This window comes from Homo sapiens, chromosome 16 (assembly GCF_000001405.40).
Source record: "Homo sapiens chromosome 16, GRCh38.p14 Primary Assembly".
In the NCBI taxonomy this organism is placed as follows: domain Eukaryota; kingdom Metazoa; phylum Chordata; class Mammalia; order Primates; family Hominidae; genus Homo; species Homo sapiens.
In genome coordinates, this window is record NC_000016.10 from 67,872,839 (window position 1) to 67,889,758 (window position 16,920).

Here is a 16,920-nt window from a genome sequence, read left to right on the forward strand (position 1 = left end):
TCCATGCTCTGGGAGTGGGCAGGGACCTGGCGCCTTCTGAGTCGAGTAGGGCTTTAGGTGGCCCAGTGCGTGGACGCTTACTTCAGCCCCGTGGGACTTTCCTGACCTCGCGGACACAGGGGCGGGGCCGCCGAGGGGGACTGGCTGCGGGAGGGGTTTAGGCTTCCGCCCCCAGCCCGGAACCTTTCTTCTCCGGCCCTGGCAGGTTCCGGGAGCCTCGGCTCGTGGGTGCCGGAAGTGGAGGCGGTTGGTGGGGTTGGCGGGGCTCAGCGACGCTGCGCGGGTGGCGGTTTGCGAACTGCGGGTGGACTGTGTAGTGACCGGCGTCCCGCTGTCTCGCCCCGTGGCGGGTGAGCGAGGGTGCGTGGTGCGCGGCGGCGGCGGAACGAACGCGGTGCGGGCGGGGCGCCCGCCGCAGGGCCCATGGCCTCCTGCGCGAGCATCGACATCGAGGACGCCACGCAGCACCTGCGGGACATCCTCAAGCTGGACCGGCCCGCGGGCGGTGAGCGGGGGTTGCGGGGGTGGGCCCCAGGCGAGCTGACAAAAGGGCGGCGCGCGTCTGAACCGCCATTGGGGCCCACAGCTCCCTTAGGACTAGCTCTGGATCCTCCCGGCGGGTAAGGGTGGACGGGGATTGACTGTGCCCCTCGAAGGGCGCAGACCCCTGGGTGTGACCCCTCCCTATCTTGTCCTCAGGCTGTTCTGCCTTGTCCTTCAGCGTCTCGGTTGAAGGTGAGGCGCCTTCTCTGAATCCGCTGGGGCCCTCTGGTTTCCTGGCCCCGAGGTCTCTAGTGTTCCTGGGACTGGCCTAGCTCCTCTTCCCTTTCTCCATGGTTCAGAGGCCTGGTCTGGGCTCCGTATATGGAATTCTGGGCCCAGGCTTAAGCGCGATGCTGAAGAGCTGCCGGTCCCCCTCCATAACTTGCCCTTCTCTCTGGAATAAAGACTCCAGGCCTCCCGTTCTGAAACTGATTTCCAGGAGGAAGGTGTCCAGTCTCAATTCCGTGTTCTTTCTGGGATGAAGGCAAATCACAGACCGCACCACCCTGACTGAATTATGCTACAAATATCTGCAAGCCCTAATTGGTTCCCATTCATTCATATTTCGCTTTGGCTCTTAATGATACCTCAGAACTAGTCTTGCCCCCAAAGATTCCCCAAGACACAGCTAACAGGGTTGTAATATACTGTTGTCATTGAAAGAAAGGAGTGTCTCGATACTGTGATGGGCGTGGGAAGGGTGGAGGCTGGTGAGTGCAGAGTGCAGGTCTGAGAGGGGAGACTGGGCTAGGTCTTGTAATGTGAACAGGGGCTTGGGTGTCAGGAAAGGCACCCAAGGCACCTATGGAGAAGCCACCTATTAGGAAGAGGAAATAGCACGTGTGCAGGCACTAGTTTACTGACAGGTTTAGGGATCTCTGAAGTGGCCGGTGATGATGGTGTGGGCGTACAGTGGAGAATTGTGTTTCCTCAGATCTTGTTCTTACACCTGCTGGGAGGCCCAGACTGGCTGCTTCTGGAAGCAGGCACTGGTGCTCACTAGGGGTGGATTCAACTAACCCCTACTTTCAGAAAATCCATCTGCTGCCTGAGACCACTCGGCCCTTTGTCCCAGGCCTGGAGTGTGTGCCCTCTTTACTCATGAGTTGGGCGTGGACCTCTCCTGCTGCTCAGCTGCTTTGTAGACTAGACTCCGCAGAGATTTGGTAGAGCCTGGCATGGCCAACCATGTACAGCCTGAGCCTGCTTTTTGGTTGTCCTCATGGTACCCTTCATGGAAGGGAGAGTTGTCAGCTTGTCCCTGAGCAGCTAAAGTGGCTCTGATCTGAATGAAGTGGCCTGGAGGCTTTCCTTATAACTACTTTGTTTATTGATTGGCACTTGATTCCCTTGTTTGCCAAGCAGCTCTTTCTTGTCTCCTCTCACTGGACGACCAGGTCAGAACTCAGACTATTGAGGACTGGGCGCGGTGGCTCACACCTGTAATCCCAGCACTTTGGGAGGCCGAGGTGGGTGGATTGCTTGAGGCCAGGAGTTCGAGACCAGCCTGGCCAACATGGTTTCTTAACATGGTGAAACCTTATCTCTACTAAAAATATAAAAATTAGGTGAGCTGTAATCCCAGCTACTTGGGAGGCTGATGCAGGAGAATCCCTTGAACCCAGGGGGTAGAGGTTGCCATGAGCCGAGATCGCGCCAAAATAATTCAAAGACTGTTGTGACTGGAAACTTGCTATGTTCTGAATGTGGAGCCCTAGGCTCCTTGCCACCTGGGGATTTTGGAAATGGTGTCTGAGCCTATGAGAGTGTTTGAAACCCAGCCAGTTGCAAAGAACTGAAATGCTGTCTTTCCTTACTCCACACGCTGCCCCATAGTTTCTCTCCTTTTGGTCCAGCTCCTTTATGTCCCTGCCTTCTGTGTTTACTTGCCCAAGATAGCTTCTTCTGAGCCATTTCTGTGTGGGGCAGCCCCTTCCACATCTTACCAGTGCCCTTCCATGCCTTAGGAGCCCATCTTCTCTCCAAACTCTGACACTACATTGGTCTAGGCCTTGATCTCTCTCACCCAGATTCTCAACCATTCTGCATGCTATCTTAGAGTAATCTTCCCACTGGCCAGAACTGACCACATCACCTTCCCTTTTGAAACTCTTTATGGTTCTCATGGCCCACAGGGAGAGTCTAAGTGCCACGGCATCATACCTGATGCCTCTGTAGCTTTGTTTTCACTCCATCCTTCCTGTGTTTGTGTGTTCTGGTCACACTAACTGCTGTATAAAGTCTTTCCTGACCCCTCCTATGCCCTCACTCAGTCCACAGAGTTCTTCTGTAGTGACCCAGACCTGAGTATTCACTGCCCTCAAAGGGTCCTTGATGGCTTGTACCCCTCCCCCAGGTAGAAGAGCCTCATGCTCATCCTTGGTCCTGCCTACATCAGTGTTTATGGAACGAGAGATGAACACAGGGCCCTCCTCCTCATGGACATGCTTTGCTCAGTTGAGTGTTCCTAGAGCACCTCATAGTTCTTGAAGGAAACTCTGAAAGGGGAGAGGCTTGTGGGCAGGTCGAGCAACCTTATCAGAATGACCCTCTTTGTCCCCAGGCCCCAGTGCAGAGAGCCCACGGCCATCCAGTGCCTACAATGGGGACCTCAATGGACTTCTGGTCCCAGACCCGCTCTGCTCAGGTGATAGTACCTCAGCAAACAAGACTGGTCTTCGGACCATGCCACCCATTAACCTGCAAGAGAAGCAGGTCATGTGAGTACCTAGGAGACGACAATAGTGGTGATGGTGTATTTGGGGTGTCTGCTAGCTGAAGGCATGAGATGGGGAGTGAGCGGGGCCAGCAGCCTCTGCTGCTTCCTCTCTAGATGACCTGGGGTGGAGCTTGAGCTTGCACTAGGATGAGAGGCAAGGACAAGCTCAGGGGTTTGGCCTGGATACCTGGTTTAGAATGAAAGTAGGCTCATTCCCAAGGAAGGAGATGAGCAAGCAGAGCTGTGGGTCTGGGGCCAGTGGACCAGGCGAAGCTGACATTGGACTAGATACCTTCCCCAGTCTGGCTATGTCCTCGCTTCCTCCCAACCCTGCCCGCTGAGCCTTTGGGTGAACAAGAGGCAAAGTTTTTGCACTCTTCCCCACAGCTGTCTCTCAGGAGATGATAGCTCCACCTGCATTGGGATTTTGGCCAAGGAGGTGGAGATTGTGGCTAGCAGTGACTCTAGCATTTCAAGCAAGGCCCGGGGAAGCAACAAGGTAGGTACTGGGATGCTGTGGCATATATAATGTACGGGGGCACACCCAGCCTTTCCAGTCTCCCTCATGCTGCCAGTTCCTATGGGGACCACCTTGACACTTTCCCAGTTTCAGGAAGCCAGGGCTGGGTGCCAAGCCTCTGTGGGAGTCTGGCTCCAGGAGGTAACAGTGGGTAGCTGGACTTGCATCTGTGTCCTCTCCCATCCCCAGGGATGTTGGGGGCCACCTAGGCTCTGGGGAAGTTCCATGACTTTTCTCACCCTGGGTTCTCAGGTGAAAATTCAGCCTGTCGCCAAGTATGACTGGGAACAGAAGTACTACTATGGCAACCTGATTGCTGTGTCTAACTCCTTCTTGGCCTATGCCATTCGGGGTGAGTAAAGACAGTGAGGAGGAAGGAATGTTCTGCTGGATGTCCCACAGAGCCAGTTCCAACATCAGGCCACTCAGGCCTTAGGGGTACAATGGAAGGTTTGTCCATGCTGCCTCTTGGGGAGCTGGGTGGGAAAACCAAGCTTGAGACTCTGGTGGTGGCAGGGAGACAGGTGGGGCAGCGCTTCTCTGCTACTGCCTGAGCCTGGATACGTATTCATGGTCCACTGCTCTCCTGATTCCAGCTGCCAACAATGGCTCTGCCATGGTGCGGGTGATCAGCGTCAGCACTTCGGAGCGGACCTTGCTCAAGGGCTTCACAGGCAGTGTGGCTGATCTGGCTTTCGCGCACCTCAACTCTCCACAGCTGGCCTGCCTGGATGAGGCAGGCAACCTGTTCGTGTGGCGCTTGGCTCTGGTTAATGGCAAAATTCAGTATCCATTCCTTCCTGTGGGTGGTGGGACTGAAGAAGGGTGGGCGGAGCTGGGGTGTCACGCCTCTTCATTCATCTATCTAGCCCTTAACACCCTGCTCAGAGAAGAGATCTTGGTCCATATTCGGCAGCCAGAGGGCACGCCACTGAACCACTTTCGCAGGATCATCTGGTGCCCCTTCATCCCTGAGGAGAGCGAAGACTGCTGTGAGGAGAGCAGCCCAACAGTGGCCCTGCTGCATGAAGACCGGGTGAGGGGGCTGACATGGCGAAGAGGCGCCAGAGAAGCCATAGTGTGGGGTTGGGCTGCACACTCACCTCCCTGTGCCTTCCAGGCTGAGGTGTGGGACCTGGACATGCTCCGCTCCAGCCACAGTACCTGGCCTGTGGATGTTAGCCAGATCAAGCAGGGCTTCATTGTGGTAAAAGGTCATAGCACGGTAAGCCTGTGACTGCCTGCCTCCCCTGCCCTCCCCACTTCCTCATATCCATCTTCTGTTCCCTATATCCACAGCTGCCCGGGCAGCTTTACTAGCATTCTGCCCGTGGGGACTCTGAGCTCAAATTGGCCCTCACCTGTGCAGCTTTCTCCTTATCTAGCAGCACCCTGCAGGTCTGGCCTTCTCTAGGAACCCTGTTCATTTAGTCAGTCACACAAGCATGCCAGTCCCACCGTGAGTCAGCCCAGCTCATTGCCATCCTCACTTGGGAGGGGCTTGTTCTCACCTCTAGTCAGCAAAGCTTTTTGGGTTCTTTCTAGTGCCTCAGTGAAGGAGCCCTCTCTCCTGATGGGACTGTGCTGGCTACTGCGAGCCACGATGGCTATGTCAAGTTCTGGCAGATCTACATTGAGGGGCAAGATGAGCCAAGGTAAGGCAGGGCCTCAGGGACCAGGATCCTCCCGAGGTAGCCCACCCGACCACTCACTCAGGCCCCTCATCTGCCTACCTGCAGGTGTCTGCACGAGTGGAAACCTCATGATGGGCGGCCCCTCTCCTGCCTCCTGTTCTGTGACAACCATAAGAAACAAGACCCTGAGTGAGTGAGTGGGCAGCCTAGTGGGTGGTGGGCTGGACCATGGCTCCCAGCAGGGGCCCCAGCCAGTCACTCACTGCCTTGTTGCCTTGCAGTGTCCCTTTCTGGAGGTTCCTTATTACTGGTGCTGACCAGAACCGAGAGTTAAAGATGTGGTGTACAGTATCCTGGACCTGCCTGCAGACTATTCGGTAAGCAGTGGCTGGAAGGCTGGGGGACTGGGCAGGGGCGGCAGGGTTGGGAATGTAGCTTCCTTCAGTTCTCAGGCTCATTCACTCTGCTTTGTGGCTCTCTAGCTTCTCCCCAGATATCTTCAGCTCAGTGAGTGTGCCCCCTAGCCTCAAGGTTTGCTTGGACCTCTCAGCAGAATACCTGATTCTCAGCGATGTGCAACGGAAGGTAGGCTGCCATGGGGTACCCTGGGCAGAGTTGGGATTATAGAGGAAGGCCGGGGGGCAGGTGGCGCATCACAGCCCTTAGCCTCTGAGCTCAGCTAGGAACGTTCTGCCTGTGCAGGTCCTCTATGTGATGGAGCTGCTGCAAAACCAGGAGGAGGGCCACGCCTGCTTCAGCTCCATCTCGGAGTTCCTGCTCACCCACCCTGTGCTGAGCTTTGGTATCCAGGTTGTGAGTCGCTGCCGGCTACGGCACACTGAGGTGCTGCCTGCCGAAGAGGAAAATGACAGCCTGGGTGCTGGTGAGCTGCCTCAGGGTCAGAGCTATGTGTCCATATATCTAGGGGGTTGTGGAGGCACAGAGAGGGCCAGGGGCTTCATCATCCACACTGTCCTTTCAGATGGTACCCATGGAGCCGGTGCCATGGAGTCTGCGGCCGGTGTGCTCATCAAGCTCTTTTGTGTGCATACTAAGTGAGTGAGTGGGGAGGCCCGCCAGTGTCCTGTCTGTGTCTGTCTCCACTCTACTGACCCTTGCCCTTGGAGCACTTTATTCTCCCCCTTCTTTTCCTGCAGGGCACTGCAAGATGTGCAGATCCGCTTCCAGCCACAGCTGAACCCTGATGTGGTGGCCCCACTGCCCACCCACACTGCCCACGAGGACTTCAGTGAGTAGGGCGTGAGAGGGAGGTAGGGTAAGTTGGACTGACCAGGGTCTGAGATCTAACTCAAGTGGCAACTTGCCCTGCAGCATTTGGAGAGTCTCGGCCCGAACTGGGCTCTGAGGGCCTGGGGTCAGCCGCTCACGGCTCCCAGCCTGACCTCCGACGAATCGTGGAGCTGCCTGCACCTGCCGACTTCCTCAGTCTGAGCAGTGAGACCAAGCCCAAGTTGATGACACCTGACGCCTTCATGACACCTAGCGCCTCCTTGCAGCAGGTACTCTCCCAGGGTAGGGGGACCTGGGAATGCCTCAGCCACAGGCCACAGGTCTTATTTCCTGCATCTCCCCAGATCACTGCCTCTCCCAGCAGCAGCAGCAGCGGTAGCAGCAGCAGCAGCAGCAGTAGCAGCAGCTCCCTTACAGCTGTGTCTGCCATGAGCAGCACCTCAGCTGTGGACCCCTCCTTGACCAGGTGAGGCAAGGGTCAGAGATGGAGGATGGCAGGGGCTGGTACCAGATGATGCCAAGCTCTGGCTGCTGACACCTCAGCCTTCCCCCACCAGGCCACCTGAGGAGCTGACCTTGAGCCCCAAGCTGCAGCTGGATGGCAGCCTGACAATGAGCAGCAGTGGCAGCCTTCAGGCAAGCCCGCGTGGCCTCCTGCCTGGCCTGCTCCCAGCCCCAGCTGACAAACTGACTCCCAAGGGGCCGGGCCAGGTGTGTGACTGGGTGTGTGTGTGAAGTGTGGGGAGCAGGTGGGCAGCAGCAGGGAAGGTGGGTGGTGGGCTCCTCCCAGCCCCCTGCTGCTGATCCTGCTCTACCCGACATGGTCCGTGTTTCCCTGAGGTCATTTCACCCTCCTGTGTTTCCTGGTGGGTGTCTCCTCAGCCTCCCTGTCCCCACCTCCTCTTCTTGGCTGTGGCCTCGTTTTTGACCTGTATCCCCACTTCCCTGCTGCCCTGTCTCTCATTACTGCTAATACTAATGCCTCGTCTCTGTGCCCCCCATCTCTGCCTCACTTCCTGTCACTTAAGCCCCCATCTTTGGCCCACCTCAGGTGCCTACTGCCACCTCTGCACTGTCCCTGGAGCTGCAGGAAGTGGAGCCCCTGGGGCTACCCCAAGCCTCCCCTAGCCGCACTCGTTCCCCTGATGTCATCTCCTCAGCTTCCACTGCCCTGTCCCAGGACATCCCTGAGATTGCATCTGAGGCCCTGTCCCGTGGTTTTGGCTCCTCTGCACCAGAGGGCCTTGAGCCAGACAGTATGGCTTCAGCCGCCTCGGCACTGCACCTGCTGTCCCCACGGCCCCGGCCAGGGCCCGAGCTCGGCCCCCAGCTCGGGCTTGATGGAGGCCCTGGGGATGGAGATCGGCATAATACCCCCTCCCTCCTGGAGGCAGCCTTGACCCAGGAGGCCTCGACTCCTGACAGTCAGGTTTGGCCCACAGCACCTGACATTACTCGTGAGACCTGCAGCACCCTGGCAGAAAGGTGAGGAGCTTGGGAGGGGAAAAGTGTGCTAGCAGGAGGGGCTTCAGATAGATTCATCCATGGCTAAGTTGGCCTGTCCTCCCAGCCCCAGGAATGGCCTTCAGGAAAAGCACAAGAGCCTGGCCTTCCACCGACCACCATATCACCTGCTGCAGCAACGTGACAGCCAGGATGCCAGTGCTGAGCAAAGGTGGGAGCCACTCTACACCATTGCCCTCATGGGGGGATGGGCAGCAAGTGGGCAGGGGCTTACTCCTCCTTCCCCTTCCCACAGTGACCATGATGATGAGGTGGCCAGCCTTGCCTCTGCTTCAGGAGGCTTTGGCACCAAAGTTCCTGCTCCACGGCTGCCTGCCAAGGACTGGAAGACCAAGGGATCCCCTCGAACCTCACCCAAGCTCAAGAGGAAAAGCAAGAAGGATGATGGGTAGGGAGAAATCCTAGGGAGGGAGAGGGTGGTCTCTAGGCTGCCTCACATAGCCTGAGGTGCTTCTCGCCTATGGCAGGGATGCAGCCATGGGATCCCGGCTCACAGAGCACCAGGTAAGTGAATGAGCCCACTTTGTACTTGTGGAACTTCACCCTGGGCGGGTGGAGAAGGGCTCTGGGCCATTCCCTGGTCTGGTGTGTGGGAATAGGTGGGGCAGGCATCGTGTGACTGTCAGTGCTACTGACAGGTGGCAGAGCCCCCTGAGGACTGGCCAGCACTAATTTGGCAACAGCAGAGAGAGCTGGCAGAGCTGCGGCACAGCCAGGAAGAGCTGCTGCAGCGTCTGTGTACCCAACTCGAAGGCCTGCAGAGCACAGTCACAGGCCACGTAGAACGTGCCCTTGAGACTCGGCACGAGCAGGAACGTATCCTTGAGACTGGTAGCACAACATGGCATAGGGACGGGGGCAGCATTCTTGGCCTGGGAAGGAGTACACGACCTGCTCCAGGCCCGTTCCTTAGCTATGGCGCAGAGCGGCGGCTGGAGCGAGCACTGGCTGAGGGGCAGCAGCGGGGAGGGCAGCTGCAGGAGCAGCTGACACAACAGTTGTCCCAAGCACTGTCGTCAGCTGTAGCTGGGCGGCTAGAGCGCAGCATACGGGATGAGATCAAGAAGACAGTCCCTCCATGTGAGTTTTGCATGCAGACTCCCTTTGGGTGGTTCAGGTGGGAGTGGGGTACCTGTCAAGCTTCTTCTCATGGCTCCACCTCACCCTCTTCCCCTCTCCCAGGTGTCTCAAGGAGTCTGGAGCCTATGGCAGGCCAACTGAGCAACTCAGTGGCTACCAAGCTCACAGCTGTGGAGGGCAGCATGAAAGAGAACATCTCCAAGCTGCTCAAGTCCAAGGTGCTATAGGGCCCAAGATGTGGGTGGAGGTGGTGGTTCCTGGGCCTAGTCAGGCCAGGCTGGGCTCAGGCTTTCAACTTGGCCCCTCCCTCTAACCCCAGAACTTGACTGATGCCATCGCCCGAGCAGCTGCAGACACATTACAAGGGCCGATGCAGGCTGCCTACCGGGAAGCCTTCCAGAGTGTGGTGCTGCCGGCCTTTGAGAAGAGCTGCCAGGCCATGTTCCAGCAAATCAATGATAGCTTCCGGCTGGGGACACAGGAATGTGAGTGGGGTCATATGGCCCAAGGTGGGAGGGGTTATCCTCTTTCCTACTGTTCCTCTTATAGTCCCTGTGGTCACCCCTCAGACTTGCAGCAGCTAGAAAGCCACATGAAGAGCCGGAAGGCACGGGAACAGGAGGCCAGGGAGCCTGTGCTAGCCCAGCTGCGGGGCCTGGTCAGCACACTGCAGAGTGCCACTGAGCAGATGGCAGCCACCGTGGCCGGCAGTGTTCGTGCTGAGGTGCAGCACCAGCTGCATGTGGCTGTGGGCAGGTGTGTGGGCAGAGTACTGGGCAAGGTGGTGGGCTTGAGAAAGGCCAGACTAGGCTCCCTGTCCACTTCACCTCACTCACTTCCCTTTGCAGCCTGCAGGAGTCCATTTTAGCACAGGTACAGCGCATCGTTAAGGGTGAGGTGAGTGTGGCGCTCAAGGAGCAGCAGGCCGCCGTCACCTCCAGCATCATGCAGGCCATGCGCTCAGCTGCTGGCACACCTGTCCCCTCTGCCCACCTTGACTGCCAGGCCCAGCAAGCCCATATCCTGCAGCTGCTGCAGCAGGGCCACCTCAATCAGGCCTTCCAGCAGGTACGATAGGCATTAGGCCCTGCTAAGGGTCACGTGTCTCTTGACAAGGCCCACATACCATACATTCTACTCCACCCACCACCTTTGCACCTTCTGGCCCCAGCAGACTGTTCTTGGTTCCCTTTGGCCTCCAGGCCATTGTCCCTGCTGCTTCCTCTTCCTGGACCCCTTTCTTCCCACCTAGCCCACCTTGCTTTACAACTACCCTTCTCAGGAACCCATTTCCCAATCCCCTAGGGTAACTACACAGCCCTACAGGCTCTCTCTGAGTCCCTCTGGAGCTCTCACTAGCCCACCCTGTGGTCATCCTCCCCCAGGCCACACAGTTCAGACAAGCAGACATTCCATCCTGATATTTGCTATAAACACTGCTGCTTTTTTCTCCTCCAGGCGCTGACAGCTGCTGACCTGAACCTGGTGCTGTATGTGTGTGAAACTGTGGACCCAGCCCAGGTTTTTGGGCAGCCACCCTGCCCGCTCTCCCAGCCTGTGCTCCTTTCCCTCATCCAGCAGCTGGCATCTGACCTTGGCACTCGAACTGACCTCAAGCTCAGGTAAGTGGGGACAGCCAGGGATGGGGAGATGAGCTGGGGAGTGGGGCAGTGGGAGGGAGCAGTTTGAAGCTGACGCCCACTTCTGCCTGAATCCTCTCCCTAATTTTCTCCACCAGTCCTTTCTGCCTTCACCCAGAGGGTTCCCTCTGGGCCTCGGTGCCACCAGGGGGCGCTCCCGTCTGCTGGCACCCACCTGTAGCCTGTCCTTTCCCCCCCATCCCCAGCTACCTGGAAGAGGCCGTGATGCACCTGGACCACAGTGACCCCATCACTCGGGACCACATGGGCTCCGTTATGGCCCAGGTGCGCCAAAAGCTTTTTCAGTTCCTGCAGGCTGAGCCACACAACTCACTTGGCAAAGCAGCTCGGCGTCTCAGCCTCATGCTGCATGGCCTCGTGACCCCCAGCCTCCCTTAGCTGCTAAGCCTGCCTTGCCCAGGGGTGGGATGGCACTGAAGGCCAGCAGACAGGCCTAGGCTGGGGCAGGGTCACGGCTGGCCTTTACCTGCTCAGGCCCCCATCTCTGGGGTGTTTGGGGGTCAGGGAGCAGGGAGCACTGGCCGTGGTCTACAGCGTGTGGTAGTCAGAAGGTTTAGCTGGGCCCAGGGCAGGTATTGCGCCTGCTTGGGTTCTGCCATGCCTGGAGCATGACCCTGAGATCGTGACACCACTTGAGTGGAATTTTCCATGTTCCTTTTTACCTCTAATTTGGATCTTTTTGTTTTTGAAAAACATTGAGAAATTCAATTAAATGCTTTTGGAATAAAATGGAGTATGTGTGTGCTTTTGGTTTGTCTTTGGTGTGACTCTCATAACTGCCGTCTGTTCGTTCTCTGCCCATCTCTTGCCCGTGGAGCTCTGTCGAGGCCAACCCAGCCAAGGGGCCGGGTTACCCACTCATCTGCTCCAACTGCCTTCCCAGATCTCCCTTCTCCCTCCTTCTATGGAGTGAGGGTCCAGGGGCCTGCCCAGCACCAGCCTGTGCTCCTGCGAATTTCTGCTCTCTGAGGTCTCCTCGCTCCTTTTCCCATCTGGGTGTTGGAGGCGGAGCCGCCGGCTGGGTTCGGAGCCCCACCCCCAGCTCCCATCCAATCACCGTCCCTCCCTCCGGGGGCTGGGCGGACGGGCTGCACTCCAAGCAGCTAGCTCCTGCACTAGGCTCTCAGCCAGGGATGATGCGCTGCTGCCGCCGCCGCTGCTGCTGCCGGCAACCACCCCATGCCCTGAGGCCGTTGCTGTTGCTGCCCCTCGGTGAGTGCGGGCATCCGGGGCCCGGGCCACACCCCCTTCTCGCCCAGCCAAGCCAGGCTGGGCATAGGGTGTGTGGGAACGCTGGGTGCCAGGGTGGAGAAGAGTTGTAAGGGCTCCAGGAAGGTGTGCTGGTGACTTCAGGACAGAAAGTGAGAGGCACAAACAGCCCCAGTTATGGGAGAAGGACTCCAAAATTTGCATCCCCTCTTATGATAAAGGGAGACATGCCAATGGCAGGACTTATAGACCAGTCGTAGGATCCCTAAGTCCTCTCTGAGGGTCTGGCCTGGATCCCAATACCTCTGCATCCTGCCTTGTCTCTCCAAAAATATTTATCTTTAGAGAGAGTTCGGAGGGCCAAGCAAAGCTTGTCTAAACCGCAGAGAGATGCACCTGCTCCTGGTCCGGGGCCTCTGGACCTCCCTCCCCTCCACCCTGTCCTGACTCCTTTACATGGACCCTTGTCACCCCACCTGCGGCCCCAGAAGCTCAAAGGAAGAGCTGACCTGGGGTACACAACACCCCCTTCCCCTGTACAAATCCCAGTCTGGGTCCTACCTTGAAGGGGGCCTGGGTAGGTAATCCCCAGACTTGCCCTTTAGTTCCCTGGGGCACCCTTTTTCCGCTGAGTCACATCCCCAGAGTGCTCCCAGGTAAACAAGCCCCTGGGGGCTGGGGGATGAGCCTGGCTCATCCTATCTACCATTCCTTCCCCACCCCACCCCCGCCCCACTTCTAGTCCTTTTACCTCCCCTGGCAGCAGCTGCAGCGGGCCCAAACCGATGTGACACCATATACCAGGGCTTCGCCGAGTGTCTCATCCGCTTGGGGGACAGCATGGGCCGCGGAGGCGAGCTGGAGACCATCTGCAGGTACCGGCGGGTGTGAGGCAGTGGCCCAACCTGTGCCACCATTGGGGACTGAACCTTTTATTTCCCAAGCTAAAGTCTCCTTGCCTCACCTAATCCCCCTAATCCCACTCCCTTAACAGGTCTTGGAATGACTTCCATGCCTGTGCCTCTCAGGTCCTGTCAGGCTGTCCGGAGGAGGCAGCTGCAGTGTGGGAATCACTACAGCAAGAAGCTCGCCAGGCCCCCCGTCCGAATAACTTGCACACTCTGTGCGGTGCCCCGGTGCATGTTCGGGAGCGCGGCACAGGCTCCGAAACCAACCAGGAGACGCTGCGGGCTACAGCGCCTGCACTCCCCATGGCCCCTGCGCCCCCACTGCTGGCGGCTGCTCTGGCTCTGGCCTACCTCCTGAGGCCTCTGGCCTAGCTTGTTGGGTTGGGTAGCAGCGCCCGTACCTCCAGCCCTGCTCTGGCGGTGGTTGTCCAGGCTCTGCAGAGCGCAGCAGGGCTTTTCATTAAAGGTATTTATATTTGTAGTAAGCTCCTTCCTTTCTCCTGGCTGTGGCCTTGCTTGCGGCTGGGGCCAGGGACTCCTAGAAACTGATCCTTTGCTTGGATGGAATGGGCGGGGCTGAGGGCCACCACAGGGGCCCTCAATCTTCCTCCTTACAAACACTCATTTCCCAGTGGCAGCGCAAAGCTTTCCATTTCATGCAGGCCCCAAGAGCTCCTCCAGTGGAGACTGGAGATCTGCCAGAATGCACAGTCTTCCTCTACCTTCCTGTGCGGGTTGAGATCGGGAGGGTGGGGTCTCAGCCCTGCACTCCTAGCACTGCCTACCCCTTCTATCCTGGCCCCTGGGGGCCAGGTGAGCTGGTGAAGTGCCCTTGATCTCAGCTCCACCCCCTCCCCAGCCTCTGGGCTCCTGACCATTTCACCTCCTCCTCTCTCTGCCTGTCACCTCAGCCTTCAAGGCATAGCACAGACTATGTGCTCAGTCCCTTCCTCTGGTTTTCTGGTCTATCTGAGGGAGGCCTGTTCTAGAAGGTGGGGAGCCTTTGTTGAAGTCCACATTCAAGCCCCTGATGTGACCTGAAGTGGCAAAAACTGGAGTCACCATAAGGGTTCCTCTGGCCTCTGCTCTCCACAAGCTTGTTCTTTGAGAAGAGGTAGGCAGTGTGTAGTCAAAACAATTGCAGAAGGCTTTCTGGAAGCCGTGGAACAAGAGCATGTGGTGTGCGAGGAGCCCCTCTTCATACCGGTGGAAAGGAAGAGCAAAATCAGCTAGGCAGAGGAATCTGAGGAAGGAGAAAGCCTTCTGGGGGTAGGACCCTCTTCTGATCAGCCTTCTCCCACCACCGCCAGGATCCTATTCCAAGCCATTACCCCACGGTTTACAGAGGCACTGCCATAGTCTCCTCATTGACTTCTATTATCACTCCCTCCACTTTATTCTTTACTTTTTTTTTTTTTCTTGTCACCCAGGCTGGAATGCAGTGGCACAATCTCGGCTCACTGCAACCTCTGCCTCCCGGGTTCAAGCAATTCTCCTGCCTCAGCCTCCCTAGTAGCTGGGATTACAGGTGCCCGCCACCATGCCCGACTAATTTTATATTTTTAGTAGAGATGGGTTTGCCATGTTGGCCAGGCTGGTCTCGAACTCCTAACCTCAGGTGATCTGACCCCCGCGGCCTTCCAAAGTGCTGGGATTGCAGGTGTGAGCCACCATGTTTGGCCTTATTCTTTACTTTCTTTTTTTTTTTTTTTTGAGACAGAGTCTCCCTCAGTCGCCCAGGCTAGAGTGCAATGGCGCGATCTCTGCTCACTGCAAGTTCCGCCTCCCGGGTTCACACCATTCTCCTGCCTCAGCCTTCCGAGTAGCTTGGACTACAGGCGCCCGCCACCACGCCTGGCTAATTTTTTTTGTATTTTTAGTAGACGGGGTTTCACTGTGTTAGCAAGGATGGTCTCGATCTCCTGACCTCATGATCCACCCGCCTCGGCCTCCCAGTGTTGGGATTACAGGCGTGAGCCACCGCGCCCGGCCTATTCTTTACTTTCTAAATTGAAAAACTCAGCCAGGCATAGTGGCTCAATCTTGCAGTATCACCTCCTCTAGGAACTATTCCCTAACCCTGACTACAAGCTGAATCAGAAGGCTCCTCTAGGTCCACACAGCTCCTGGATTCCCTTCTGCCTCAGTACTGATAGCACTAGCTTGTTATTGTCTAGGTACAGGTCAGAATTCCCCACTGTGGATTCCCCAAGGGCAGGAAGTCCTTTTTGTCAGAATCCTCGTTGTGTCTCTAGCATCCAACCTAGGGCTGGATATAAAGGGTGCACTTGTGGGAGGGTGTGGAATGAAAGATAGAACTCCTAAGTCCAGCATGGGTAGTGCTACAGTAAGCAAGAGCTTGGACTGAGAATGACCCCACTGTGGAGGTGTGTCATCTTGGGGTGGCACCTTTACTCTGGGCATACTGCTGGGAAGGATGGTGCTGGGGCTGTATACCCCAGAAGTCTTCCAGAGCTGGTCTTGGATGGCTAGGAGCAGGGGCCTGGCTGTTCTGGCTGGCCGTCAGGGAGATTACCATCCTCCTGCTGTGGCCTACTTTTCCCCTGGTTTTTGCTCTCTAAGTCCCTACTTTTCCATGGAATAGAGCGGGGCTTGGGGAGGGGGGAAAGAATCTGCTCTCTGGCTAGGGGCTTAAGGGCTTTGTGTGTTTTATCCTAGAGCTGGAGGAGAGGGGTGGGCTGATAGCCAAGCTGGCTGGGCCCTGGGCACAGCTGCCCAGGCCAGAGCATCATGGTGATGGTGTTTCTCACATTTGCAGCACCGTGGACAAGGAGTACCTTATTGTTCTGAGAGAGCCTGGGGGATGGATGTCCTGAGCCCAGTCCCCTCTGCATTAATATATCTCTTCACCTAAGGACCTCCCTCCTGCTCTTCTCCAGAGCCCAGACCAGCACATAGTAAGGGTTCAATAAATATTTGTTAATTAATGCGCTGAATGTCTGTAAAACAGGAGTGTTGTGTAGATTTCTGAGTGCCATCAACCCTGGAATTCATATTCCTTTTAACCCTCACAACAACTCTGTAAGGTCAGGATTATGACCCCCCCTTATATTTTATTTTATTTTTTGAGACAAGGTCTCATTCTGTCACTCAGGCTGGAGTGCAGTAACTCAGTCCTGACTCACTGCAGCCTTGACCTCCTGGGCTCAAGCGATTCTCTAGCCTCAGCCTCTTGTGTAGCTAGGACTATAGGTCTGTGCTACTAAACCCAGCTAATTTTATATTTTTGCAGAGACAGGGTCTCATTATGTCACCCTGGCTGGTCTCGAACTCTTGACCTTAAATGATCCTCCTCCCTCAGCCACCCAAAGTGTTGAGATTACAAGCACAGAGCTATCCTCATTATATAGCTAAGAAAAATGAGGCTTATGGGCCGGGCATGGTGGCTCATGCCTGTAACCCCTGCACTTTGGGAGGCCGAGGCGGGTGGATCACCTGAGGTTGGGAGTTCGAGACCAGCCTGACCAACATGGAGAAACCCTGTCTCTACTAAAAATACAAAAAATTAGAATTAGCTGGGTGTGGTGGTGCATGCCTGTAATCTCAGCTACTCAGGAGGCTGAGGCAGGAGAATTGCTTGAACCCAGAAGGCAGAGGTTGCAGTGAGCTGAGATCATGCCATTGCACTCTAGCCTGGGCAACAAGAGTGAAACTCCATCTCAAAAAAAAAAAAAAAAAAAAAGAAAAATAAAAATGAGGCTTATGGCCCAGCGCAGTGGTCCATGCCTGTAATCCCAGCACCTTGGAAGGCTGAGGTGGGAGGATAACTTAAGGCCCTGTCTAAATAAATAGGCCAGGCATGGTGGCTCAGGCCTATAATCCCAGTGCTTTGGGAGGTCGAGGCTGGCGG

General features: G+C 56.6%; 2 protein-coding genes across 4 annotated transcripts, besides 6 other annotated features; both read left to right on the forward strand.

Annotated features, from left to right (window-relative positions):
- The first annotated feature begins 213 nt into the window (after positions 1–213).
- EDC4 (enhancer of mRNA decapping 4) lies at positions 214–11,661 on the forward strand. Of its 2 annotated transcripts, NM_014329.5 has the most exons (29): positions 214–505; positions 3,107–3,263; positions 3,650–3,761; positions 4,035–4,134; positions 4,379–4,568; positions 4,671–4,818; positions 4,903–5,007; positions 5,328–5,437; positions 5,522–5,605; positions 5,698–5,793; positions 5,899–6,001; positions 6,119–6,299; positions 6,399–6,471; positions 6,574–6,665; positions 6,749–6,936; positions 7,012–7,133; positions 7,225–7,378; positions 7,719–8,152; positions 8,238–8,342; positions 8,427–8,579; positions 8,659–8,695; positions 8,830–9,007; positions 9,116–9,271; positions 9,374–9,489; positions 9,591–9,756; positions 9,841–10,027; positions 10,120–10,339; positions 10,730–10,893; positions 11,118–11,661. In NM_014329.5, the coding sequence occupies exons 1-29, from the start codon at positions 424–426 to the stop codon at positions 11,308–11,310; spliced, it is 4,206 nt and encodes a 1,401-aa protein (NP_055144.3). In that variant the 5' UTR covers positions 214–423; the 3' UTR covers positions 11,311–11,661. The 2 variants fall into 2 exon arrangements, with proteins under 2 accessions (NP_055144.3, NP_001414274.1); NM_001427345.1 differs by having other exon boundaries at positions 8,830–9,271.
- Positions 327–536: a silencer, noted in NCBI's record as "silent region_7630". NCBI's record gives its function as "represses an Ori minimal core promoter by ATAC-STARR-seq in GM12878 lymphoblastoid cells {active_cell/tissue: GM12878}" and the evidence as "EXISTENCE:reporter gene assay evidence [ECO:0000049][PMID:35858748]".
- Positions 327–930: a biological region, named in NCBI's record as "H3K27ac hESC enhancer GRCh37_chr16:67907171-67907671".
- Positions 430–930: an enhancer, noted in NCBI's record as "H3K27ac hESC enhancer chr16:67907171-67907671 (GRCh37/hg19 assembly coordinates)". NCBI's record gives its function as "activates a minimal SCP1, AML or CMV promoter by ChIP-STARR-seq in primed H9 embryonic stem cells {active_cell/tissue: H9 hESC(primed)}" and the evidence as "EXISTENCE:reporter gene assay evidence [ECO:0000049][PMID:30033119]".
- Positions 11,139–11,318: an enhancer, noted in NCBI's record as "active region_10992". NCBI's record gives its function as "activates an Ori minimal core promoter by ATAC-STARR-seq in GM12878 lymphoblastoid cells {active_cell/tissue: GM12878}" and the evidence as "EXISTENCE:reporter gene assay evidence [ECO:0000049][PMID:35858748]".
- Positions 11,624–12,133: an enhancer, noted in NCBI's record as "H3K4me1 hESC enhancer chr16:67918365-67918874 (GRCh37/hg19 assembly coordinates)". NCBI's record gives its function as "activates a minimal SCP1, AML or CMV promoter by ChIP-STARR-seq in primed H9 embryonic stem cells {active_cell/tissue: H9 hESC(primed)}" and the evidence as "EXISTENCE:reporter gene assay evidence [ECO:0000049][PMID:30033119]".
- On the forward strand, positions 12,047–16,017 carry NRN1L (neuritin 1 like). 2 transcript variants are annotated; one of them, NM_001348682.2, is made up of 3 exons: positions 12,047–12,144; positions 12,884–13,016; positions 15,829–16,017. In NM_001348682.2, exons 1-3 carry the CDS (start codon positions 12,066–12,068, stop codon positions 15,884–15,886), a joined length of 270 nt encoding a protein of 89 aa, NP_001335611.1. In that variant the 5' UTR covers positions 12,047–12,065; the 3' UTR covers positions 15,887–16,017. The 2 variants fall into 2 exon arrangements, with proteins under 2 accessions (NP_001335611.1, NP_940845.1); NM_198443.2 differs by lacking the exon at positions 15,829–16,017 and adding an exon at positions 13,136–13,530.
- Positions 12,134–12,641: an enhancer, noted in NCBI's record as "H3K4me1 hESC enhancer chr16:67918875-67919382 (GRCh37/hg19 assembly coordinates)". NCBI's record gives its function as "activates a minimal SCP1, AML or CMV promoter by ChIP-STARR-seq in primed H9 embryonic stem cells {active_cell/tissue: H9 hESC(primed)}" and the evidence as "EXISTENCE:reporter gene assay evidence [ECO:0000049][PMID:30033119]".
- Positions 16,018–16,920: the final 903 nt, after the last annotated feature.